General features: G+C 42.9%; 1 protein-coding gene across 8 annotated transcripts in view, besides 2 other annotated features; it reads right to left on the reverse strand.

Moving 5' to 3' along the window:
* Positions 1 to 27,554, reverse strand: part of CCDC149 (coiled-coil domain containing 149) — a 176,691-nt gene that overhangs the window by 31,140 nt on the left and 117,997 nt on the right. For all 8 annotated transcript variants that reach the window (XM_011513908.3, NM_001130726.5, NM_001395273.1 and 5 more), the window contains 5 exons: positions 18,419 to 18,526; positions 3,503 to 3,619; positions 2,575 to 2,747; positions 1,783 to 1,855; positions 295 to 379 (listed from right to left, as the gene is read on the reverse strand). In XM_011513908.3, coding sequence (XP_011512210.1) covers positions 295 to 379; positions 1,783 to 1,855; positions 2,575 to 2,747; positions 3,503 to 3,619; positions 18,419 to 18,526 — 556 coding nt within the window. The remainder of the gene's footprint in view (positions 1 to 294; positions 380 to 1,782; positions 1,856 to 2,574; positions 2,748 to 3,502; positions 3,620 to 18,418; positions 18,527 to 27,554) is intronic.
* Positions 21,779 to 22,279: an enhancer, noted in NCBI's record as "H3K4me1 hESC enhancer chr4:24858054-24858554 (GRCh37/hg19 assembly coordinates)". NCBI's record gives its function as "activates a minimal SCP1, AML or CMV promoter by ChIP-STARR-seq in primed H9 embryonic stem cells {active_cell/tissue: H9 hESC(primed)}" and the evidence as "EXISTENCE:reporter gene assay evidence [ECO:0000049][PMID:30033119]".
* Positions 22,280 to 22,780: an enhancer, noted in NCBI's record as "H3K4me1 hESC enhancer chr4:24858555-24859055 (GRCh37/hg19 assembly coordinates)". NCBI's record gives its function as "activates a minimal SCP1, AML or CMV promoter by ChIP-STARR-seq in primed H9 embryonic stem cells {active_cell/tissue: H9 hESC(primed)}" and the evidence as "EXISTENCE:reporter gene assay evidence [ECO:0000049][PMID:30033119]".

Genomic DNA, 27,554 nt, shown 5'->3' on the forward strand with positions numbered 1-27,554 from the left:
TCCCAAAGTGGGGTCCCTAATCCAGCGTCAGTATCACCTGGGAACTTTTTAGAAATACATAATTTTCAAGTCGTACTCCAGACCTACTGAATCAGAAACTCTGGAGTGGAACCAGTAATCTGTGTTTTAACAGGCCCTCCCGGCAACTCTGATGCACGTGGAAGTCGGGGAGCCACTGTTCTATGGATCGCCTCAGTTCCCAGACCACAAAAGCAGCAGCCTGGATGGGATGTGGGCTTGCAGCTCTAGTATTTTACGCTCATGAGCGGTCTCTCCTGGAGCATGATATCCTACCTTGCTTTGCAGACAGGACTCCTGTCAGAGCACTGCTGCTGGATTTACCCTGGCCCTTCGAGTTTTTCCGTCTCTCCAGAGCATTCTAAAACAGGATTGGGAGAGAATAAAAACCCGTCAGAAAAGCCAACAATGGAAAAGTACCTAGCAGATGCCTTCTCTCATCGGCCCACAAGAACCCCTTGCAAACTCCAAGTGCTAGCCTAATATTTAGAATTCCAAGTCTACGCCCAAGAGTTATAATTTTTACGGCCTGGTAAGAAGTTTGTTTGTTTGTTTTTAAATAAAGGTGGTGCATGGCAGAATGATAGCAATTACAGTCCCCTGTATACAAAAAGCACTTAATACATGTTAAATTAAATCAAATCTGAAACAAGAATGCAGCCTAACATGTGAAGTCACTAGTAATGAAAATTCCTTCTGAATAGACATGAGATGGTGACTAGGTTTATTTCCATGCACCAATGGTGATTTCTGGAAGAAAAGAGAGCCATGATCAATTAGTGATGTCTGCCGTGGATACAGATTAAGGAAGTACATATGTGCCACCTACATGTCATTCCTAGAACAGACTTACATTAAAATTGATATGTAGCATCTAGCCAGTGCTTGGCACATAGAACTGAATAAATGTTGTTAAATGAATGCATCCACACATTTTTAAAAATTATGTATTAATTATACAACTTTAAGAGCTATATCCTTCTTTGGCTGAATGCATATAGATAGACTGGTATAATGTGTGGCTCCCACAAAATGGAAAGGAAGAACAGCACGGAGACTTGTGAGAACAAATGCTAATGTCAAAAGCCAGGAAAATAAGGTTCTTCCAAGCATCTAGACGGCTGTAAAACTTCACCCTCAGGAAGAGAAATCAATCTACTTTCCAAGCAGAGAAACCCAGGAGATTTTTCTAATTATAACACTTACAACTAACATCTGCAGAAATAGATATTATCAAACTAATGGTGCTGGAATTAGACTAACTAACAGTGGGGAGAATTTAAACATTCTGTCCTTGCAGGGTGACATGAACATGATGGTTTAGACTGTGCCTTCCCAATCTTTGTTTCTTCATCACTCGGAAACCATTTTCTTATGGGTGATTACGACAGAAATAGCATCTGATGAGTGAACATGTTATAGAGAAAACGGGTAAGAAACCTAATTGCAAATGGACCAAGGCTATGCAATATGCAAGTCCAGATTCTAGTGGAGAGGCTATACCAGGCGCTAACACATCCTGAGTGGGCATGCCTTGCTCAGATAACAGCCACAGAAGGAGCTCTTGCGAAAAGCTGCTTTGGTTTTGTTTGTTGTTTGGGATTTTAATTTGTACTGGTTACCCCAGTTAAAGCTCTTATTAGACTCTATCTGGGAGGGCAGGCAAGTACTAAAATATCTTTGGCACATAGAAGGGAATTAAAATAGAATGACGTTTAGATGCACAATAGTCAATCACCATCACTGTCATCATGATTTTGCTACCTTGTATTTGGCAATGTTTGATTTCAAGAGGTTGACCTCTTCATGGAGTTGCTTTAATCTCTCTTGAAGGTACCTGAAAAAGAATACATAAAACTAGGAGGTGTTTAAGGGCTAAATAAAAAACACACACTGAAGTATAAGGGGAAAAAACAAAAACCACTTGCCAGAAGAGCTATCTTTTACACATAACACCTTGCCTGCTCACCAGAGAGGAGAAACATGTGCATCTTTGTGACCTTTCCTTAAATGAATGCAATCAAGGTCAAACATGCCCAAATCACAGACAACCCACTTTAAAACAGCCCTCGCAGAGATTCCCTAAGGGATATCAACACAGTTTTCACATAATTCTCATTAAGATGATTCCACTGGGAAGAGAGGCAGGAAGAGGCGACACCAGACATAACATTAAGTTAGACACACACACACTGAAATTTGCCTCAGGGAAAAGAAACGGCTAAGGGAATTTCTCAATTCATTTTCTTATTCTTTTCTTTCTCCTTGATGGCAATAACAAGCAACTCTCATGGGTTCCTCGCCCTTCTCAACCTACCAAGGAAGGTGTAGGGAAAGAGAAGGGAGATGTGTGCACTGTGTAGGTGTGGGCTGCTTTCCTTTTTCACTTTTGCAACTAATACATGGCATTGATGTCATCATTTCGGGGGAGTGAGTTTCTTTTCACTTGTAAGGCAATTTTCTCCAAAATAAATAGGGCTGCAAATAACTCCCAGCCTGCAGGCCTGTGCAGAGCCAGCCTTCCTCCCACGCACAGGCCTGGGCCTGGCCACTTGCCTGTTCTCCATACACAGGGCGTCCACGTCAATGATGCGGTTCTCGTGCCCACTCAGGATATGGTTCAGCTCCTGGTTGAGCCTCTCCACTTTGTCCTGGTAGGAAGACCGTTCTTCTTTAACATCCTGAAGCTCGTCCACAGAAGCCTGCAGGTCGTGCTCCAGAGACTCAATCTAAAACCACAGGGAGAGCCCTTACTCAAGATGTTCCTCAGGCTCCAGCTTTATGGCCAGAGATGGAGCCTCCCACTTGGTTGACTGATTTTTAGAGAGTTTATTAACACTACCCGCATGCCCTAAAGCCATAAGCGCCACACACTGAAATACAATAACAGCTAAAAGCGAGGGATGACTTCCTGCCAGACATTCATTATATTTAAGACAGGAGAGGTGCAGCAGCTTAGAAAACCAGAACTGAACCCTCGCCAACTTCAGGATGCCCTGCAGCTGCCAGTGTCTTACAAATCCATACTTTTTCAAATCCACTCTAGACCCAGAAATCTTGTTCTGCTCTTCAGTTAGTAAGAGGAAGAAAATGAACTTTAGGCTCTCTTAGTTGTTACCTAACTAGGGCTCTGCACTTGTTGAGATTTTGCCTAAGAGGCACTGCTCAGCATTTTAGCAGAAACTTGCAAAGTAAGGCCAGTTTGTCACGTGTTGTTCTCTCCCTGTCTATCCTGGCTAGGAGGAACGTTTCTTGTTGTGTTCAGAACAATGGTACCCAATAGCAGGGAGCAGACCTGCCTGCTGGAGGCCAGAAACCCAAGAGTCAGCTTGGGACCCTAGTGCAGTGCTGAGGAAGTAAAAGCATTCAACGTGCATCCCAGGCACCCCATACTCTGAGAAACGAGGGGCACAGTCCACTCTTGTTTGTGTTGTGTCCAGCTGTGCAAATGCATCCCCCACTCTGAATAGATGTTAGTGAGAACCTGTTCCTTAGCTCGCTCTAGCTGCTGCACCAAGTCTTCACGCTCATGGGCTGCAAAGTGTCGCACGCCGATTGCTTCGTCTCCGAGCCTTTGTTTGGCAATCGTCATCCTCAAGAGCTGCATTTTCCATTGGTAGAAAAAGAAAAAGGCACAGAGAATAAACAGATCCAAATAAAAACCAAAGGACACTAAGAAACTTTTGGAAGATAAGATACTTTCAAGAAATACTGGAGAAAGCACAAAACAATTACTTGCCAGTATCATCCATTTTTTAAAAAATTAAAAATATAGATTGTAGTTAGTGTACACATGCACACACTGTTTAAGGCCTGGGCACTCTAGGCTGGATGTCTGGTGGAGCACTGCCACTGGGAGGAAACAAACTCTGGTTCCCATTAAAATTTAGCGAAGATTCAAAAATGATAACCCAATGCTGGAAGATCTGCTGAGATGGGAACTCTCCCACACTCGTAACAATGAGGTGACATTATCAAGAGCCTTAAAAGTGTCCCTACCCAATGATCCAGTAACTCTACTTTTGAAAATCTGGGCTAAGAATAATCCCAGACTGCTAACTTTAGGAAAAAATGAAAAAATAGATTGCACTGTTATTTAAAGAGTTTAAAAAAAAAAAACAAAAAAAAACCAACTAGAAACAATGTCTAACAATAGTGGAATGTTTAGCAAACTACAGTGCAACCAACCAAGTGGCTAATTTGCAGCTGTCTGAAATGAGGCTTATGTGAACTAGGTAACACCAGATAACAAGTCTATGATGCCATGTTAAGTGGGGGAAAAAAGAATACTAACGTTTCTATGCAGTATGACTAAAATTATACTAAGAACTCTCTCTCTCTCTCTCTCTCTCTCTCTCACACACACACACACACACACACACACACACACAGAGAGAGAGAGAGAAAGAGAGAGAGAGAAAGAGAGAAAATGACCAAATGCACCCAAATATTAAAAATGTGTGTATTTCGGTGATGGTGAGACTGCTGCTATCTGCTTTTTACTTTCTAACTTTTTTTTTTTTTTTGAGACGGAGTCTCGCTCTGTCGCCCAGGCTGGAGTGCAGTGGCACGATCTTGGCTCACTGTAAGCTCCGCCTCCTGGGTTCACGCCATCCTCCTGCCTCAGCCTCCCGAGTAGCTGGGACTACAGGCGCCCACCACCATGCCCAGTTAATTTTTTGTATTTTTAGTAGAGACGGGGTTTCACCATGTTAGCCAGGATGGTCTCGATCTCCTGACCTTGTGATCCGCCTGCCTCAGCCTCCCAAAGTGCTGGGATTACAGGCATAAGCCACCGTGCCCGGCCTTTACTTTCTAACTTTTAAAATCTTCATTCACTGCATGAATTTCATAATATGCCTTTATTTATGTTTTAATATCCTCAGGAATAAAATTGCAGTCTTCCAAAACATAATTTTCCAAAAGATCCCTGAAGAACCCATAGCTTTCCTGGACTCCAGAGCCAAGACCCACCTGCAGCTCCAAACCTTCCAGGTGGGGCTGCAATGGAAACTGTGTGAGAGGCCCAAGAAGGCCCCAGTGGTCTCAGAGCATCCCCTATCTGCCCATCACAACTCCAAGGATTGCCACTGAAGAGTGACTTTCAAAAGTTATGGCAGCACTTTCCAGTGTTTCTTTTATGGAGGTTTTAAGTCTGATTCCACACCTCCCCGTAGGGCAGATGTGGATGGGTTTCATATATGAATGGGATCCTGGGGACAGTTTTTCACTGTCACACAGATCCGACCCAGCCAGGAGTGCCCGTGGGGGACAATCTCTTCCTTGTTCCTGCATGAATCTTAAGGGATTCGTTGCCAGTCGAGAAAATGGCTTAATTTTCAGAGTCTCTGAAGGATTTATGGGCAGGTGAGAGATAGGAAGTTAATTTAAGCCAAGGGAGAATATTAACTAAATTGAAATAATAAATAACAGCAAGGAACTTTGAAAGAAATGATGACTAAAGAAAAGTAAAGTGCATTTTCAAATGACACTTACTTTGGGTCCTTATTTGAAAACTACTCAGTTGAACTCAACAAATATTTACTGTGTCCCTACCAAGAGCAAAAGCACCATTGGGACTGGGTGGACAGTGTCCCAGGCAGGTGGAACAGACCGTGCAAAGGCAGGCAGAAGATGCAGGACGCTTAGATGTGCAGATGGCTGCACTTGCTGGAATCTGGTTATAAGCGATCCTCATTATCCATGGATTCTGTATTTGTGAATCTGCCTACTTGCTGAAATTTATTTTTAACCCCAAAATCAATATTTGCAGTGCTTTCATGGTCATTGTCAGACATGCAGAGAGTGGCAAAAAATTACAGTCACCCGACACACACGTTCCCACGGAGGTCAAACAAGGCCACATTCTGCCTTCTTGTTTCAGCCCTTGGATTGTAAACAAATGTCCTTTTCATGATCTAGTGAGCGTCCCACATTTGTCACATTTTTGTGCTTTTCACTGGTGACTTTGCTGTTTCATGTGGCCCCCACGCATAGTGCCAAAGTGCTGGAAGTGCTTGCACTTAGTGTTATCAGTGCAAGAAGGCTGTGAAGTGCCTTATGGAGACAATATGAGTGTTAGAGAAACTTCCTCCAGGCATGAGTGACAGTGCTGTTGAACTCAGTTCAATGTTCATGAATTAACTGTATATGTCAAATAAGGTGATGTTAAACAGAGACACACATAAAACAAGGTTATGATTGATCAGTTGACAAAAATGTTGTGACCAGAGGCTTCCAGGAACCTAACCCTGCATTTCTTCTAGGAGCAATGGTTCAGTATTCACTAATCCAGTAGTTGGCAGTGACTTCACAGAACAAATTTGTAGCAAAACTGGTCATTCCACTGAAAGCTGATATGCAAAAACTCTATCACATCACACAACTCTTGGCTTGGGACATCAGAACTCCAAAAGTGGATACACAGGAAGGCAAACGACAAGCCAAACAAAACAATGTCTATCAGATCTGAGGGTCTAGGAACAAGAAAACTCCTGCCTTTCAGTATGAGGCCAACAGGAGGCTCAGGTCGTGTCTTCAAAAGCAGGGTATTTTTCTTGGTCTATAAAAAGCCATACTGACAGCCTGAACTTTAAGTTATAAAACACTGTGGTTTTCCATTCCCAATATGCTTCACTGAGCACTTAATTTAGAATTGCACAATTATGTTTGCTTAATGCCAATTAATTATTAAACATGTTTATTGAGGTCTGACAGCCATATAAGAGTCATCTTTTATATATTGGATGCCTGTTAAGCTTCAATAAATATGTTAACAATCATTTGGTGTTTAATGTGCATACAATATCGGCTGTTAAATCTCAGGGCTGGACTGGTTGAAACACTTATTTTTAAAAGTGAGGCCCAAGTTGGTAATAGCTGGATCATTAGTTGTGTCTGAAGCTTAAGTGCAGTCAGCTGAGGGGGTCTAAGGACGTCACCGCAGAGGAGATGGCAGAGCCCCAGGGAGAAGGCTCCTGCCTTCCGAGCTGACAGCTGGTGTGCACTGGAGTTGGCCCACCTAGGGCCTGCATCCTGGCCCCACAGTCTGTGAGCTGTGCAACCTCAGGACTTGTCTGAACTTCTTGGAGTCTCAGTATCCTTCTCTGCAAAAACACAGCAGTAAAAGTGTAGGCATGAAGTGAGAGAGTGGGGTTGAGTTAAATGAACACTGAACTCAGGGGAGTTCAAATAGTCATATATATGAGTCTGGGGATTAAAAAGAGGAGGAAAGAGAGGATGAGAGAGAAATAAACCAAAACATTGGGTGATTCTCCCAATTCCTATGCTCAATATCCCTGCTGGAGAGTGAGGGGTGACAGTGACTGATAATATATTTATGCAAAGTCACACTATTCTATTTTTACATAATACCGCTATTCCAAAGCATACATACACCATGCAAGTTTTGGACAATTTCAAAGGACCATCAGGGGGAATTCTGGCTACATACAAGTTTCTGCCTCTTACATGCTGACTTCAGAACCTAACCCTAAGTAAGAAAAGATGGGACTTCTCTTTGATACTTAGCACAGGCCCTGGAGCATATAATGTGTTTAATAAGTAAATAATAAATGTTAGGGACTCTTGTGATTATTGTAATTATCATCCTCCTCCTCCTCCATGTATGTTTCCCCACACAGAAGCCCACGAGGGAAGTCCCACCTTTCTTCTAAGCTGGAGAAAGCAGAGCTCCCGAGCCAACCTTATCTATGTAGTGCAGGCAAATGATGTTGATTTTCCACCTTGGAAAATGGCTATGAAGCAACCGCTCAGGACACTTAATTTCCTCAAACAGGGCCATCAAAACTGCACAGCCAGCCTCCCTGTGCCAACCCACAAAGTGGATCAGTGCCTTGCACAGCACCCGCGCCGCCACCAATAGACGCATTCAGTTGCTGATTTAGATAGAAATAAATGTTTATGAATGAATTATGGGTGTGAGTCGTCAGCTTGCGGATGAGGTGCAGCTGCAGCTGGGAAGTGGCTGAGGGACATGGCTGCAAAACAAAGTGGTAAAACGGCTTCTGGGTGTCCTGCCCCCAACTCTGCCAAGGGCCTGCTCAGTCTGTCCTCCATGAAGCCTGTCCAGGCCTCCCAAGTCAGAATGACTTGCTCCTTCCTTGATCTCTTCTTAGCCTTCGTCTCTCACAGTCCTCAACATTCTCTACCTCATCCTATTTTCATTTACCTGAATCTGTTTTACCCAACAGTGAGAGGCAGCCAGTTGCAGGAGCAGCTATTTTCCGGGTGTCATCTCCGTTCAGATCCAGCTTCTGCTAATCCTAGCTATGTGCCCTTGGCAAGCTTCTAACCCTGGTGGGCTACATGTGACTTGTTTAAAAAAAAAAAATGGATAAAATCTATCTTGCAGACAGGACAGCCATGTATGGCTGCCCAGGCTGTGCACTGCACAATTCCATCTGTGGAGATCACTTTACCACAATAGGAAGATACAATGCAATGATCACTGTCCATGTAACTTCATGAGCTTTCAAAGTGCAATCCCCAGTTACAGTTGGTATAGTTACAATTCTTACACAGTAGCTGTCAATTTGCCAGAGCTATCGAGAGGGTCAGATGAAAGAATCATTAACAGGAAGTGGATGCTAGCCCTTTCTTGCCCCCAGTCCCCGTGTACTGCTGCAGATAGCACACCTGGGGAGAGGTCAGCACCAAAAGGCATTTATTAAACATTCATCCGGAGTGGCACTGTACTGGGCAACTCAAAAACAAGACCCTGCCTATTATTTCTTTACTTTTCCTGTTAGTTTCCTCCACATCCTCTCCAAATGCCCCCTGACCTTTTGCAAATACCTTCAAAAAAACTGGACATGAGAGATTAAAAAGGCTCCAAGTGGGCCACCTATTGTGTACACCAGAGTCCAAATTCCTAGATTTATATGACATTCCAGTTTTAGTTTCAAACAAAATAATTTGTCACTTAAAACAAAGCAAATCAAAACAGTAGTTTTCATCCTCCTACCCTGGAGATCAACACGCACACACTCAATAGTGTGTATACGGATGTCTCCCAGTTAACAAGCTCCCAATGCAGTCCAAGCGAGCAGTGTGCTAGCAGCTTTCCTTAGACCACTGACAGATACCCCCAAGTGGCACTTCACAGCACTGAGATCCGCATAGAGCCTCTACTAGGGCTGAAGAGGCACAATATGACCTGCTCCTACCTGCCTCCTGACCCCATTTCTAACCATCCCCCTATGTCTGTGCTCCAGCCATGCCGGCTTCCCTCCCTTGTCCGAAACATGCCACTCTCATGTCTGTCCCTGGGCCTTTGCACTTCCTCTGCCTTTGGAAGAGCCCACTCACAGGTCTGTCCAGAACCCGCTTCTTTTGTCTCATTCAGGTCAGATCAAATCTCCCCTCTCTGAGAAGCCTTCTCTGCACATTATCACTAGAGGCATTCATCCCCAAGCCACTCTCAATCCACACTGCCCTGCCTCTCTGTCTTCATCATACTTACCAGAAATAATCGCGTTCATCTGCTTGTGTCTACCCCACTTCAGCTCCATCATGGCATGAACCTTGCTTGTCATATGCACTGAAACACCTTGTCCTCCACAACCGTGTCTGGCTAACCATAGCCCGTCCTCAAATGCTTCTTAGATCTATTAAATAGGAAGCCTTCATTCTGTGCTCCCCACAACTCTCAGAGGCAGACATTGTCATCTCCTCTTTACAGTAGCGAGAACCCCCTGAGAGGTTGGCACATGGCTCTGAGGCCAGTGTTAACTGGCCAAAAGCTTCAGGTTGAGGGCACTGTGGCCCACTGGGAACCATGTACAAATCAATGGGCCGGGCCAGGCATGGTGGCTGACACCTGTAATCCCAGCACTTTGGGAGGCTGAGACAGGTGGATCACTTGAGGTCAGGAGTTCGAGGACAGCCTGGTCAACATGGTGAAACTCCGTCTCAACTAAAAATACAAAAACTAACTGGGCATGGTGGTGCACACCTGTAGTCCCAGCTACGCAGGAGGCTGAGGCAGTTGAATTGCTTGAACCCGGGAGGCGGAGGTTGCAGTGAGCCGAGATCACATACTGCACTCCAGCCTGGATGACAGGGCGAGACTCCATCTCAAAATAAAATAAAATAAAATAAAATAAAAATAAAAATCAGTGGCCCACAGTGCCCTGGGCCCAAAGCTTTTGGCCAGGTAACACTTAGCACTAATGTGCCATGCCATGCACTATCCTAGGTGCTGATCCCCATTCACCCATTTAAGTCCACCAAGCACCCTTGGCAGGTATTGTTGCTATCCTTATTTGCACATGAGAAGCTGAGACATAGAGAAGTGGAGGAACTTGCCTATGTCACAAATCTTATAAATGGCAGTCAGGAATTGAGCCCGGCAGTTCAGGGCTCTGAAGTCTATGCTGCGTTGCCTCTCTTCACAACCGTGGCAACAATACCTGCACAGCAGCTCCCCTGGAGAATGTGCTCTATGTCAAGTGCTTTATAGAACTTTCTTTATTTAATCCTCACAAAAGGCAAACGGCATGCCTTCCCGCACCAAGCCCCTGACACCCTAAGCTCGCTCCCCTCACAGGGTCTTTGGACTTCACACCCCATGTCCCTATATCTGACCCTTCCCACCACACTTCCTTCAGGGCTCTGTGTCACGCACATGCGCAGAGGGCCTTCCCTGACCACCTGATACAAACAGCATCCCTGCCCCACCTGGGCTGCACTCTCTAGCCCCTTATCCTGCTTTAGTTTTTTACTTAGCACGTATCACCTCCTGACATATTATACCGCAGTTCATCAAATATAAGACTCCATCAACTTTAAGAGCCACCACTGTGCACCTCTAAAAAGAATAAAAAGTGCCAGTCGTAACTACACAATACCGACTGTACCAGAGATGTCCAAATGTGAAAAACTGTGCATCTTGGAATCTGTGAAATATGATTTATTTGCTTACTGTCCATCTGCCTCCACTAGAACGAAACTCCCATGGGAGCAGGGACTCATTGATATTGTTTGCTGTTAGCCCTAGACCAGTCTGTCCTCAACAAATACATGTTGAAATGAATTGACCGAACCAGCCTCCATGAGGCAAGTACTACTGCTATCCCCATTGTACAGATGAGAACAACTAAGGCACGAAGAAGTCAAGCAATTGTCCCAAGATTACACAGCTAAGAAGCCCCTGAATCACTGTCAGATAGTTCAGCACATGTTGCTCCCAGAGCCAAAATCTTTAGTGTCCCATCAAGCAGTTTTAAAGAAGCTCTGATTTATTTTCATTTTAGTGTGTAATTTGGATATGGTGTATGATAAAATAAGTCTTGGGCAGAGATATCTTTCAGAATCAGTTCTCCACTAGGAAGTGTAATTATGTCCACAGTCTATGGGATGAATATCTGAAAACCATGCTGTTTTGGTCACGTGGTCTACCCAGACTATGAGCTCATGTAAGCCATGACAGGCTCAAATGAGGTATCGGAAGACCAAGTGTATCCAATTCACTTATGAATAAAACATTAGACACTGCTGAACTAGACTGGCCGCTTGCTGGACTCGCTGAGCATTGCCTATAGTTCATAATCAAGATCCCAGGTAGAGCAAGACATGATAGGGCAGGGAGGTGGGGTGCGGTGAAGGGCCCTTCTCACTCATTGTAATTCCTCATAATTAATTTCTATAGTGCCCCAAGGCGAGAGCTTTTCATTAGAGTGCCATCTTTACTTCAGTTTCTTGCAGGCTAGGACATCTCTCTGCTCCTTTTGAAGCATAAAGTGAAACAGCTTCCAAAGAGCTCTCTGATCCCTCATCCTGGACCATGACAAACATCCACAGCTGAGCACTCCTTTTTAACGAAGTGTACCTTAATTAGTCACTTGCACACTCATTGGTCTGTCTTTATTGGCCTGTAGCTGTATCTTAATTGGTTTGCTCACCAAATTCATCCAAAAGTCCCACGTCAATAGAGGTATGTTCACAGAAGGTCTCTATCATTTCACGGCACCAATGACAGATAAAACAGAGGTACCTAAAGACCTTCAGCTGGTATAACATAAAGCTCATTATTAAGGGCAAAACCCTGTGTTTATGCAATATCACAACAGCTAAATTTAAATTTGCCAGCAGGGGCCCAGGAAGTGTAAATGTGTGACATTGGTAGGAGCATTTGCCTACCGCAAACTTCCTTGCTTTTGAATACATCGCACTGTATTATTGGTCCTCTGCATGAAAGTACCATAATCTTTAAAGTAAACAGACAAGAAGACCAACTGCCATCTGTCCCAGTGGGAACATGAATTGCCGCTTCTGGCATATCCTATTAGGTGCTTATTCCACAAGGAGCACACAAAATGCAAGAAAGTTCCCAGGAGCTTGGCACCAAAGCAATAATGCTTGATGCTGGCGAAGTCGAGGCTGGTGATCAGGAGGGCTGACTTTTGGGGATCCATCTGCCACATGCCAGGTGTCTCACCAGGATCATTGTCTCTACTTGGGGGGACACATCTAGTTCACTGGAAATAGCTGATCAATAGAGAGGAAGATCTTAAGATTTCTGGTGGAATTCTTGCACAAGTGGATTCTAAGTCAATATGGGCGCATGTTATGCTAAAGACAACAGCAACACTTACCCTCTGTTAAGTGCTTGCTAGGTGGTATGCACCATGCAACACCCTTTACAAACGATATTGCATGCAAGTCCATCCCTAAATCATTAAATCTCATTGTCCTGTTCTCTTTTCTTCTCAGACTAAGCACTGTCTGATGAAATTACTTACGTATTTTATTTTCTTATTATCTACTCCCCAACTAGAATATCAGTACCATGGGAGCTAGTACCCTGTCTTTCTTATCCTTTGATGTGTCCTCAGCTGCTTTGATGTGTCCTCAGATGCTAGAAAGTTAATTAGCATGTAGGAAGTCCCCAATTATGTGGGGACTAAATGATGTGGTGAATAAATGATTAAACAATTCGATGAGAGGCATTATTATTGCCACTTTACAGATGAGGAAACTGAGGCCTGGAGAGAAAACTGACTTGCCAAAGGCCACAGACAATAACTGGCAGAACGAGAACATAAACCTGGGTCTGACAATCTTAAAAGGTGGACCTCTTGGGCTGCACTACACTGCTCCACTTCACAGAGACAGGCTGGAGCTATCTTTTCCTAGAGTCCAAATATTTCCAAGTTCAGTGACTTCACTTTGGTAACCTGACATTTGTCATGGTACCAGTATTTATCACACAGACATTGGCAAAATGTTACAAGTCAGGCTTCTTTCAAATAGCTGGTTCAGGAGCACACCTCAGGGTATAGTAGTCCCCCTAATCCTTGGTATCAGTTACCTGAGGTCAACCGTGGTCTGGAAATATTAAATGGAAAATCCCAGAAATAAAAAATTCATAAGATTTATATCGTATGCCATTCTGAGTAGCATGATGAAATCTCGTGTCCCAGTCTGTCCCACCTGGCCCTGCTGGAGAGATACAAATCCTTCCTTTGTCCAGGGTCCATGCTGTCTACGCTACCCACCCCTTAGTCACTGAGTAGCCATTTCAGGTATCAGGTCAACTGTCACAGTATTGCAGTGCTTGTGTTTAAGGAACCCTTATTTTACTTAATAATGCCTCGGCCAGGCACGGTGCTAACATCTGTAATCCCAGCACTTTGGGATGCCGAGGTGGGTGGATCATGAGGTCAAGAGATCGAGACCATCCTGGCTAACATGGTAAATCTCCGTCTCTACTAAAACTACAAAAATTAGCTGGGCGTGGTGGCGCGTGCCTGTAGTCCCAGCTACTCAGGAGGCTGAGGCAGGAGAATCGCTTGAACCCGGGAGGCGGAGGTTGCAGTGAGCTGAGATTGCACCACTGTGCTCCAGCCTGGTGACAGAGTGAGACTCCATCTCAAATAAATAAATAAATAAATAAATAAATACAATAAATAATGACCCCAAACACAAGAGCAGTGATGCTGGCAACTTGGACATGCCAAAGAGAAGCCACATACTGCTTCTTTTAAGTGAAAAGGTGAAAGTTCTCGACTTAAGGAAAAAAAAAATCATATGCTGAGGTTGCTAAGATCTGCAATAAGAACCAATCTTCTATCCATGAAATTGTCAAGAAGGAAAGAGAAATCTGTGCTAGTTTTGCTGCCGCACCTCAAACTACAAAAGCTACAGCCACAGTGCATAAGTGCTCAGTGAAGATGGAAAAGGCATTACATTCGTAGGTAGAAGACATGAAGAGAAATGGGCTCTGATTGATGGCAACCGAGAGCTGCACTAACCCAGGTTTCAGGCATCCACTGGGGGTCTTGGGAAGTATCCCCCAGATAAGAAAGGACTGCTGTCTTTGTGATTCCAATGTCCTCTGCTAGTTCTGCTGTTTGACCTACTAATCCTTAAATTCTCCGAGACCCCTTTTTTCCTCCTGATCCCCTTTCCCTGAATCCACTCTTTTCTTAACGCCCAGAAGAGGAAGCAGGCCAACCTCTGCGGCAGACCAAGGGGAGCTGCCACTGTCTCTGTGGCCCCAGCACTGCCTGAGTCTTTCCTCATTCCTTATAGACTGACACTCTGAGAGCCCTGGGCAACGTGCAAAGCTTTTCGAGGGTAATGCGTGGCTTTGTGAGCCCTCCTTTTCCCAGAGGGCTCCTCTAACCTTGTTAATCTTTAAGAACTGTAATTTTTAAGGAAGGGGATGGTATCCAGTAGGTTTCCCTTTTCACATCTCTCATCTGGTTTGGCTTGGAAGTTTGTGTTAGTTTGGGAGCCTAAGAAATTCCTGCGCACTGGACAGAGATAGCAGGAGGTAATCAATCACACAGGCTCCCCCCATCACAGGACGCCCATGTTGGCACAAGAACGCTGCCCCCTGCCCCATGTGAGAGCTAAGCTGCTTGGAAGCCAGGGTGGCAACAAATCTTTCAGGAGGCTATTTGGAAATGCTTTATGGCCCATAGGGTTACAAGGCTCTAGCTGAACAAATGGAAAAATTAGTCTACCCTAAAATATCCAAGGCAAGTAATTTCCTATCACCTTGTTTTTCAAACGTACTTAACATCTAGAATCTGGGCTTCCCAAAATATAGATAAGGGTCATCAGTTAAAATGGCAACTCAGAGATAAAAATCTTCCACTTTAACAGTCACTCATAAAATGACGCCATCAGCCCTGCTGTTTGGCCTCAGAGTTAGGCGTCCAAAAACAGCAATTATTAAGTATTCTTGAATTTAACAGACTTCAACCAGTCAAGGAGCAGGACACTTATCCCTTGTCCCCCAAGGCTCAGCAACTGACCCTCTGCTCTCTCCACAGAAGCTTCTCAAATACATGTATCTGGGGTTAGTCCCCCCTCTGTTGGGACAGTTTGCTTTTCTGGTTCCTTTCTCCAAATTTCTAAACTACTTCTTACTCCACAAAGTACTGATGACAACCAGATGGTAGTTGGTCTGTTTATTTCTTGCATACTTTTTTTTTCTTTTTCTCTTACTCTTCCTTGAATCATTTTGCTCTTCTTTTTGTTCCCTTTATTCATTCATTTCATTCATTCATTTATTCCATTCCATTCCTTCAATAGAGATTATATAATACCTACCTATCAAGAACTAAGAATGCTAATTTATAGGATACAGATGGAAATTCGGCCCTCAAAGAGCTTCCCCTTGGGGCTGTCGGTGCCACGCAAGTGAGAAGCAGAGGGGCAGAGCAGGACATTGCAGGTTGCACAGGACTGACACCTAAGAGCTGGAGAAGGCTGCATTTGACTTATGACCTGGGAGAGGAGCAGAGCTTGCAGGGGAAGTAAAGGGGAAGAGTATTCCAGATTGAGCAAACAGCAGGCACAAAGGTCCTGTGGCCACAGGCAGTGTAGCACAGCAAAGGGGCTGAAATTAGTGCTCCAGGGCTCAAGTAAGGGTGACCAGGAGCAAGGATGTGGCTGCAGAAATGAGTAGGGGTCAGATCATGGGGGCCTAGCACACCATGATCATGGAGGCCTAGGCACCAGGAGGTAGAACTGAATGCAGAAAGTGATGGAAGAGTTGGAGTAGAAAGTGCCATAATTAATTCAAAAAAAATTGAAGGTTTAACTCATTCTCTACCACACAGTCACAGTTACCTGGGAACGGGGGCTTCTGAGGTTCTCAAGAAAGCCTGGTGCCATTATGGAATGAGTAATCTGGCCTCTGGTGGGGGTTGGGGGAAGGATGATCATGACTCACATGAGCCTGAAAATAAACCAGCCCTGTAACTTTAGAGGCAAATGAGAATAAATGGAATCTCTGGGGCTTACTGCAGTTAGACTTTTTTTTTTTTAGGGAGAGAGGCCAGATACTGAAATGGGGAGGTTTGCTGAACAATAGAACATCTTCCCCTGCCCCTTTTGGCAGGCAAATTTCTTTACAGGCCATGAATAGCAGTCACTAAATTCTAAACCTAAGGTGAGAAGACAAAGTTTGATAAATGTGCCCAGGTACTGGAATAAAGACTCAGAGAGCATGCAGATCAGAAAGTTCAGACTGTGACCACCTGTGCTCAGTGTTACACACATAAACATGCTCTCTCACACACACTAACACACTCACACACATGCCCTCCTTTTCTTTTCTTTCTTTTTGAAAGAGATGGGGTCTCATTCTGTCATCCATGCTAGAGTGCACTGGCATGATCATGGTTCTCTGTAGCCTCAACCTTCTGGGCTCAAACAATCCTCCGGCCTCAGCCTCCTGAGTAGCTGGGACTACAAGCGCGTGCCACCACGCCTGGCTGCTCTCTCTTTGTTTCCATGAACTGTCAGTTGCAAACGTCAATTCCTAAAATTCTCATACCTAAAAGGCAAAAGAATTGAAAGTGACCAAAAGATGAGACAGGAGCATATTTAGGAAAGTTGAGGGGAGGAGCAGCTCAGGAAAAAAAAAGAAATAAAATAGAAAAAATATGTTATCAGTCAGTCAAGAAGAGTCACAGATCCAAAAGTCACATCTTAAATATGTTTCAGTATTTCATGGGTTTATAAACTCCTCTAGTATTTTCATGGGCTTAAAGAAAACTATTGCATACATTTTGTTTTATTCTCTAGAAAATCTTGCCCTCCTGCTATCACTTGAGGAAGTGAGTAAGAAGGTCTGTCCTTTAATTATTGACCAAACACCTAGGTTACGGAGTTTAAATCCTTTTAATGATGAATAAAACCACGAGCGGCTGGATTAGCTTGTCCAGTGTTAATCAGAGCCTTTCCTGGACATTCTTTCCCACCTTCTATTTCATGACTAGGAATAGTAAAGCCTAAGTTTTCAAATTTATGTTAAATCCAAGAGGTTAAAAAAATTTAAGGCCAGTTAAGTGGAGAAGAAGCTGTGTAAGGAAGGCTTACTAGATGTTTATATGCCCTCAAGTCAGGACTCTCAAGCCAGCAGTATGCAGCATCCTCTCTGAAGTCTTATTATGGAAGAGCTCTCTGGATGACCCAGGCAATTCTATGCATATTTTAAAGAGTGAGCATTTTTCATAATGGCTCCTTCTAATAACCAACAACTCCCAGCAATGATGAAAGTCACCATCATTTGTCAAGCAATTTGGTAACATCTAAAAACATTTCCCCAAGAACTGCTCCCCTCCAACACACCATACACACACACACACACACACACACACACACACACACACACACACTATAGTCTTCTTGAGTCCACTTTCAAAGCCATCTCTGTTGCAAAAGCCACCTCTGGCAAGGAGTTGGAAATGAATCAATCTTGGCAAAACAGGAAATGATTTGGGAGGACAGAATTAAACTTGGGTAGTTTTTCTTTCCTTTCTCAGTTGTACTTTTGTTCATAGCTTCAGCTGGGAGAGAGAGTGCACACATTTAGTTGGGAGTTTATGAGTTCATATTTTATAATTAACGTTGCCAACAGGGGAGTTTGATTAATACCAAGCAGTGGATTTTGAGCAATGTTCCATACAAATTGCCAAATTTAGCAATAAAATAAATTGGTTATGAGAACATAATTAGTAGGATGACTACTTAAAATTCAAAACCGAATGTGAATAATTCCAAATCATCTGAGCCACAAATCCATTATTTGTATATAAGGGCGAAAGTATAACATTTGGGTTTTATTTTGCCCTCAACCACAGTGTTATTCACCACTAAGTTGAACATAATGAAACTTCCACAATGGGTTGTGGCAATATTTTAGAGCCACTGAGAAACACACATATACATGCATGCACACACACAAAGGGAATGTAAAAAGGTAAGATACGCTAAACTGCGAATTTTCATTATAAATTTAAAAATCTATAACAAACTTTTCAACAAATGCTGCATTACATTTTTCCGATGTGCAATATATAAACCTCGAACGCACAATGTTGCAGCAGAGCTTCTTCCCTGTAAATACTCACAGTACCTTGTTGTCGCCCTGGACTTCTCCAAGCCTTTGCTGAAGTTCTTTAATTTCTTCTCCCAGATGTTTATTTCGGTCCTGAGAATCTCTCAATAGTTGTGCAAGATTAGCCTAGAAATATCAACACATTATGAAATACAATCAGAAATGGAGGAGTGGATGAATGCAGGGCTTCATTGGGCTTGTGGATGCTGGTGTCTAACCCCAGTTGAACCACACAAAGCCCGTTATAGTAAACACATATATGAATGCAGCCAGTGTGTGAATCACACCACTACAATGGCACGCAGGAAAATGAAGTTGGCCATGAACCTCAATTTGGAGATATTCTTTGTTTACAGAATGGCTCACAGAGGGTACTTGAACAAGCAATGGAAGAGTCAGTCTTATTTGCCTTAAACAAAAAAAAATTGTGAGGCTGAGGCAGGAGAATTGCTTGAGCCCGGGAGGCGGAGGTTGCAGTAAGCTGAGATTGTGCCACTGCACTCCAGCCTGGGTGACAGAGCAAGACTCCATTTCAAAAAAAAAAAAAAAAAAAGAGAGAGAGAGAGAATTTATCACTAAAAATCTGGAAAAAGGACATAGAGTTCAATTGTAAAATTTGGGCCAGGCCAACAACATAGAAAAAGTTTCATTTTCTTGTTTGGATAGCTTCTTATTCTTCAAATATATGTTGTCTCATGAGCTTTCGTGTGTGACCTCAATGCCTAGAATTTTGATTACAATTCTAGGGGGCGGCCAGAGAAGAAGTCAGTGACGAGCAACAATCTCTGAAATCAGGATCCAGAAGAAATGCAACAGTTTCCTGGGCTGGTTTTCCCCTTCTTTATTTCCTTATTCTACCTCACATAGTACTAAATAGCCAGGATAATCGCCCTTCATTCCCATCTTCATGACATCATCCTTTCCTTAAGATTTGCCTCCTGTTGGGATCCAGGTCCCTCCGGTCTCCATGGCCAGTCCATCAGCCAGCCTCCCCTTTTGGTGTGGCTCCATCTCACAGCCTCATGGTCCCTTTCCCCAGAGCATGCAGACACCTTTTACCATATCCTCACCCCTTACCCACATTTCCTGAACCTGGGATTCCTGGCCGCCCATCTAGCTACCTATTCCAGTCTTTTACTCACAGTCCTCGCTCACATGGCTTCTTGTTCTCCCATACTATTCTTACTTTGCTAATGGACTTGCCCTAATTCTCACCTGACTTATCACATTCTTACTGAACCTTAGCAGGAAGAGACTGCAAACTACTGAAAGGCAGAGACTCTGCTTTCTGCTTCCTCTGCTTCCATGTGCGTTGTTCCAGACAGTGCTCAGGTACCGACAAGTGTTTTAAAAGCTCATAATGAATAAATGAAGAAAGGAGGGAAGGAAGCAAGTAAGCAATCCAAACAGGCCTCCTGGAAGGGGGGATCATTCAAGGAGAGTCAAACGAGGGATATTAGAGATGATCTTAATATGAAAGAATCCCTTCCTGCTGCAGCTGAAGAAACCCAAATCCAGAGAGGTTAGGGAACTAACCCGACTGGAATGGCTAAATTTCCAAAGACTTCAATGCTAATACTTTGGGGAATATGTAACTATGGTGGGTACTAAAAACAGAATTAAAGGGAAAAGAAGATAACGATTACATGTTGGCTGACCTCCCGTATCCCATTTGTTGGGATATCCTGTTGTCTTACCTACTAGGTCTCCCCACCTCATGCTCACCTCCCTGTGGTCCCCCACACAGACCAGGCATGATCCTATTTCAGTGCCAGGGCCCTATTCTCTCTGTTTAGAATGCTCTCCCTCCAGAGAGCCTCTTGGTTCACTTCCTCACCTCCTTCAGTCTTGCTCAAAGGTCACCGTCTCAACAGGGTCCATCTTAACCGATCGATTTAATACTGAAACCTTCCCCGGTGCTACCTTACCTTTTTTTCTGGAGCACTTGCCATCTGTTATCATTTACTTCATGGTTCATTGCTTACTGTTGACTCCTTGTCTCCCTCTCCTTACTAAAACATAAGTTCCATGAAGGGCAAGGAACTTCGTTGTCTCTACTGACCTCTCCCAAGCACCTAGTAGATGCTCCATAACTATTTTTAAAATAAGAGGCAATAAGCTGAGTGTGGAGGTTGCACTCTCCCTAGGAGAGATCAGGAATAATAAGAGTGTACCAAGACTGAAACCAATGCCTGGCATGGAGACTTGCATAGAAAATCATTCATCCCTGGCTAGCTGCCGTGGCTCACACCTGTAATCCCAGCCCTTCGGGAGGCCGACACGGGTGGATCACCTGAGGTCAGGAGTTCAAGACCAGCCTAGCCAACATGGTGAAACTCTGTCTCTACTAAAAAATACAGAAATTAGCCAGGCATAGTAGCACATGCCTATAGTCCCAGCTACAGTGGAGGCTGAGGTGGGAGAATCCCTTGAACTGGGATGGTGGAGATGGTGGAGGTTTCAGTGAGCTGAGATCATGCCACTGAACTCCAGCCTGGGCAACAAAGAGAGACTCTGTCTCAAAAAAAAAAAAGGAAGAAAAAAGAAAAAAAAGAAAAACATTCATCCCCTTTGGCTGGATTTAATCAAGCCCTGATCTCTACTCACTTATTTGAGAACATTACTCAGTAACTCCATCGAATTTTTCAGCCCCCTATTTGCAAAGCTCCCATCTTGTAATATTTGAGTTCTAATTTTCCCAGATTTCTGTTCTCCTAAGACAAAAATTTAGTGATGGATGAGGAAAATCAAAACCTATTTTGTAGGTAGGAAAGCAAAGAAACATGAGACACTGTGAACAAATGACTGCCTTTGGAAATTTCCCTAAATGGGAGGAATCAGAGAGAAGAGGCTGCATTCTGATCATGCCACTTCCTGGGTTGGGTGACATGACAGGAGTTTCTTAATCTCTTGGGTCTCCCATCTGTAAGACAGAGCTAGCAACACATAGTTATTTGATCTTTAAATAATGAACAAAGAATGCCTACCACAGTGCCTGGCATCATGTGTGGGCTCACTAAAGGTGGGTTACCTCCCTCAACTGTGCCCACTCCGTGGTTGCTACTCCAACGCTCAGTGAACAGAGCTGTGTAAATGCAGCGAAGGCCTCTCCTTGGACACAGCTGACTCCTTTGCAATCCTGCCCCTTTATTGTTGATTATTTGTTCATTCATTTATCTGACAAATATTTATTGGGCACCTGGCATCTGCCTGGCACTGTTTTAGACCTGGAGATACAGCAGCAAACAATACAGACAAAACCCTTGCCCTTAGAAACTGACATCGAATGGGTGACATTACATTAACTACATTATATTACAATAGAATATATAATGAATCCGTGTGCTAGATGATAACATGCTGCAGAGAAAAATAAAGCAGGCAAAGGGAATAGAATGTGTTGGAAGAAAGGGCCGCAGAAGGTTTCACTGAGAAGGCCACATTTACATCAAGACTTGAAAAAGGAGAGAGAGAGCCTTGTAGATATCTTGGAGAAAAAGTCCCAGACAGGGGAAAAGGCAAACAGGCTTCCCTCTCTCCCTCACCCCATCACATCTCAAAACTTCCATTTGAAAGCGCAGCTCAAGGCCACAAGAGCAGGCTGACCACAAGGACTACAGCGAAGTCGAGAGATGACTCAATTCTTGATTTTCGTTTCCTGGTTCCCCCTCTCCATCCACAGCTCTCCTTCCTTAGCTCAAGGTGTCACATGTGGGCGGCCTCTGCCTTTCCTCCACGGAACTCCAGAACATTCCCCAGACATTAGCTCATTGATCCTTTTCCCTGGCAGCAAACATAATCCCTCCCTACCAGATGGAGGGCCAGGCCATTGGGCAGCAGTGACTGTCCCTGGGGAGCAGCGGGAGGAGCAGCCCAGCGCTTGCTCGGTCTGGGAGCTGGCTGCCAACTGCACATTCAGGTGAATCTCAGCATCCCCATCTGGAGAAGATGCAGCAAAATTCACCTAAACCTTCATTTAGCGGAAGAGAGGTCCAAAGAAATGTCTGTAAGGGCAACAATGAAAACGTAAAAAAAGACAAGGGAAAAAAATCTCCAACCTCCCTAAGCTTCCCTTTTTAAATCAATATTTCCTTAGTCTCTGGTGGGCAGGAAGACCCTGACATTCACTGACCAATGTAACTGCAGTGGCTACATTGGTAGCTACTGTATGGGTAAACCAGTACAACTCAATCTGTTGGTGGGAAAAGAGTTCTCTTTTCTCAATCCATACTAGATCAATACTTTTGTAAAATCTAATAAAAATGAGTTACTAGGCAAATAAATTTAAGAAGACAAGAAGATAAAACCCCAAGTGTGTATCATTAGATTCAACAGACATAAAACCATGCTGTCAAATTGCTATAAAAGTTTCTGAACACTTACTCTCAATTTCTGTATGTATCTTGTCATGGACCAGAAACAATTAGGTTGCAGCCTGGCCCTGGTCCTTGGGCCTCACTTTAAAAAGCACTGAGCTCAAATGGTTTTCCTAGGGATATGGAAACTAGAGTAAAGAAGACACTTTATAAAAATCAGTCAATAATTCCAGTGATGGCCAGGACGGAGGGCAGGGCTGCTTTAGGAAACAGTTATTTAGAGACCTAGTGATGTGATTATTGAAAATTATTTACTCTGGAGCCTGGCTGAAAAGAAATCTACTAAGAGCCAGCATTTCTACATTAGCTGCAAAACAGTGGTTTATTAAAATCGCAATCCTCCAAGTGAGTTCACTGTAAATCTACCCCAGCTTTAAACTTGGCCCCTGGAGTACAGTGGGGTGGGGGTGGCACCACTGCTTCAAAGCAGGTGACTGTAATTTTCTTTTACCTTTAACAGGCTAGATTCCTTGTCAACATACAATTCTTTTCTATTCAGTCCCTCCACCTCCTCAACTCCAAAACAATAACTTTGAAAACTAGAAAATGACTATTCTGATATGGTGCCTAATTCCTTGACATACACCTTAAAGAACAGCAAAAAAAAAAGAAAGTAGTACATTTCAAAGTGCTCAAAATAGAGGAGAAAAGTTCACAGGATTCTTTTGACCAAAAATAACACCCATGACTCACACACATTCACTATAACAATCCATCAAGCTAACACACGGTGCCTGCTTATAATTTATCAGCTATGCAGAGCACTTTGTCTAACTGTTACTGAGAAGGACTCTGTGACCATCAGTTTAGAATAACAGCACTATGTAAAGGAAATGTCAGGGAAAAGTGGCAGCCTGCCTAAGACTGGGTTTCACAGGGAAGGAAAACAAAACCAAGAGATTCTTTCCTCTAAATCTCTTGGGGCAAGAGGCAGCATAAATAGCAAAACATAAAACGGTTTAAAAAGAAGCCTCTTTTAAATATTCAGATCAAGCGAGAGCCAACATTAAAGGTTGACATTTTTGCTCTGATAATAGTGGAATGTTGAATATAGTGGGATACGTGTAGAATCCATATATTTAAGTCACTCTTTCTAGCTAGGAGTTTATTAAAATTGTGATGGGAAAGGGAGGGAAGAGAGATTTGATGAAAACATAGCGGAGAGATTCAAGGCCGAAAGGATATGACAGCTTTCCATTCTGAAACACCTTCCTTTGTCAAGGAACAACTCAATCCCCAATTATAAATGATGCCTGCAGAAGCAATTCACCAAAGCCAGCCCTGGGTGTGGGAACTGGGAGGCCCTGGAAATTCTCTCTGGACAGGGATGATGACTACAAATACTGACAGCTGTTGTGAAGGCAAAGACCAGGAAATTGATAGAGCTGTCGGATCTCACCCCCAACCTCTTCCCAACTGTTTGCAGGAATCCTCACCGAGGTAGGTTAGCCACATGGGAGAGGGCAGCTATCTTGCAGCATTTCTTTAAGCCCTGCTGCACTCTGAACTCTAGCTCTTGCCTCTATCACCGTTCCAATTCCCCTACAAATGCCGCAAAATATGTCAGAATGGTTTACACTACAGATGTGACATGTTTTTTAAACTTATAAGAACCAATGGGAGATTTTAAAATACGGACAGTCCCTGATTTAATGATGCTTCAACTTATGATCTTTCAACTTTACAATGGTGTGAAAAAGATAGGCATACAGTAGAAACTGTAGTTTGAGTACATAGCCATTCTGTTTTTTGGTTTCAGTACGGTATGGAATAAATTACACTTTATAAAATAGGTCTTATATTAGATGATTTTGCCCAACCGTACACTAATATAAGTGTTCTGAGCATATTTGAGGTAGGCTAGGCTAAGCTAAGCTATGATGTAGGGTGGATGTACTAAACGCATTTTCAACTTTTAATGTTTTCAATTTATGATGGGTTTATCAGAATGTAACCCCCTTGAGCATCCCTTTATGATTAAAACCCTCAGCAAAATCTGCATGGAAGGGACATACCTTAAGGTAATAAAAGCTATCTATAACAAACCCACAGCCAACATTATGCTGAACAGGGAAAAGTTGAAAGCATTCCCCCTGAGAACTGGAACAAGACAAAGATACTCACTTTCACCACTTCTATTTAACATAGTACTGGAAGTCCTAGCAAGAGCAATCAGACAAGAGAAAGAAATAAAAGGCATCCAAATCAGTAAGGAGGAAGTCAAACTGTTGCTGTTTGCTGATGATATGATCATATACCTAGAAAACCCTAAAGACTCCTCCAAAAAGCTCCTAGATCTTATACATGAATTCAGTAAAGTTTCAGGATACAAAATCAATGTACACAAATCAGTAGCACTGCTATATACCAACAGTGGTCAAGCTGAGAATCAAATCAAGAACTCAACCCTTTTACAAACTGCAAAAAAATAAAGTACTTTGAAATATGCCGAACCAAGGAGATGAAAGACCTCTATAAGGAAAACTACAAAGTACTACTGAAAGAAATCAAAGACAACACAACCAAATAGAAACACACCCCGTGCTTTTAGATAGGTAGAATCACTATTGTGAAAATGACCATACTGCCAAAAGCAATCTATAAATTCAACACAATTCCCATTAAAGTACCATCATCATTCTTCACAGAACTAGAAAAGACAATCCTAACATTCATATGGAACCAAAAAAGAGCCCGCATAGCCAAAGCAAAACTAAGCAAAAAGGACAACTCTGGAGGCATCACACTACCTGACTTCAAACTATACCATTAGGCCATAGTCACCAAAACAGCATGGTACTGACACAAAAACAGCAACATAGATCAATGGAGCAGAATAGAGAAGCCAGAAATAAAGTCAAATACTTACAGCTAACTGATCTTCAACAAAGAAAACAAAAACATAAGGTACGGAAAGGACACCCTATTCAACAAACGGTGCTGTGATAATTGGAAAGGCGCACGTAGAGGAATGAAATTGGATCCTCATCTCTCACCTTATACAAAAGCCAACTCAAGATGGATGAAGGACTTAAATCTAAGACCTGAAACCACAAAAATTCTATAAGATAGCATCAGAAAAACCCTTCTAGACATTGGCTTAGGCAAATACATCATGACCAGGAATACAAAAGCATATGCAACAAAAACAAAGATAAATAGATGGGACTTAATTAAACTAAAAAGCTTCTGCAGAGCAAAAGAAATTATCAGCAGAGTAAACAGACAACCCACAGAGTGGGAGAAAAATCTTTGCAAACTATGCATCCAACAAAGGACTAATATCCAGAATCTACAAGGAACTCAAGCAAATCTGCAAGAAAAAAACAAATATTCCCATTAGAAAAGGTAGATAAGAACATGAAGAGACAATTCTCAAAAGAAGATATATAAATGGCCGACAAACATATGAAAAAATGCTCAACATCACTAATTATCAGGAAAATGCAAATCAAAATCACAATGCAATAACACCTTACTCCTATAAGGTGTTATTACTCCTGTAAGGCCATAATTTAAAAATCAAAAAATAATAGATGTTGGCATGGATGTGGTAAAAAGGGAACACTTTTACACTGCTGGTGGGAATGTAAACTATTATAACCACTATGGAAAACAGTATGGAGATTCCTTAAAGATCTAAAAGTACATCTTCCATTTGATCCAGCAATCCCACTATTGGGTATCTACTCAAAGGAAAAGAAGTCACTATATGAAAAACACACTTGCACATGCATGTTTGTAGCAGCACAATTCACAATTGCAAAAATATAGAACTAGCCCAAATGCCCATCAATCAATGAGCGAATAAATAATATGTGATATATATATATGCACACACACACACACACACACCATGGAGTACTGCTCAGCCATAAAGAGGAACAAAATAATGGCATTTTCAGCAATCTGGATGGAGTTGGAGACTATTATTCTAAATGAAGTAACTCAGGAATGAAAAAACAAACATTTTAAGTTCTCACTGATATGTGGGAGTTAAGCTATGAGGACACAAAGGCATAAGAATGAAACAATGGACTCTGGGGACTCGAAGGGAAGGGCGGGATGCAGGTGAAGAATAAAAGACTACATATTGGGTACAGTGCACACTGCTCAGGTGATGGGTGCACCAAAATCTAAGAAATCACCACTGAAGAACTTACTCATGTAACCAAACACAACTTGTTCCCCCTAAACTACTGAAATTAAAAAAAAAATGTAACCCCCTTGTAAGCTGAGGAGCATCTGTGTAACCATGGATCATATTTGGCAATGACCATGATGTTAAGGGAACCTATTTTCAATGATCGAATATTTGACAGTGGTCAAATCTGACAGCCCTAAATCTTTCAGATTTGGGAGAAAAGTTTCCATTCTATACCATTTCTCTCGCTGTAATAAGAAATGGGAAGATGGACATGAAGGGAATCAGGATACACCACCCTAAATGATGCCACTTTGGCATCAGGAATCTTTTGAGCTGAAGGCAACTGAGAATCAACAAACGCAGGAAGAAGAGTTCTCTACACTCCCTTTTCTGTCTAAAAGCAGACATACATTTCCCTTTGAGATGGTGTCACCCACTTCAGTACCAGGAAGAAGAGAGAGACTCCTATCACCAGAGACAGTCGGCACCAAGATGAATCTTGATAGATAATAATGTTTTGTGATGCTAATTGTCTCAAAATGAAGTCACTGATGACAAGTGACAGTGAAACTGTTGACCCCTCAAAGTGATAAACATATGCATAATGGTCTGAGGTGATAATACCTGCTGT

This window comes from Homo sapiens, chromosome 4 (genome assembly GCF_000001405.40).
Source record: "Homo sapiens chromosome 4, GRCh38.p14 Primary Assembly".
In the NCBI taxonomy this organism is placed as follows: Eukaryota; Metazoa; Chordata; class Mammalia; order Primates; family Hominidae; genus Homo; species Homo sapiens.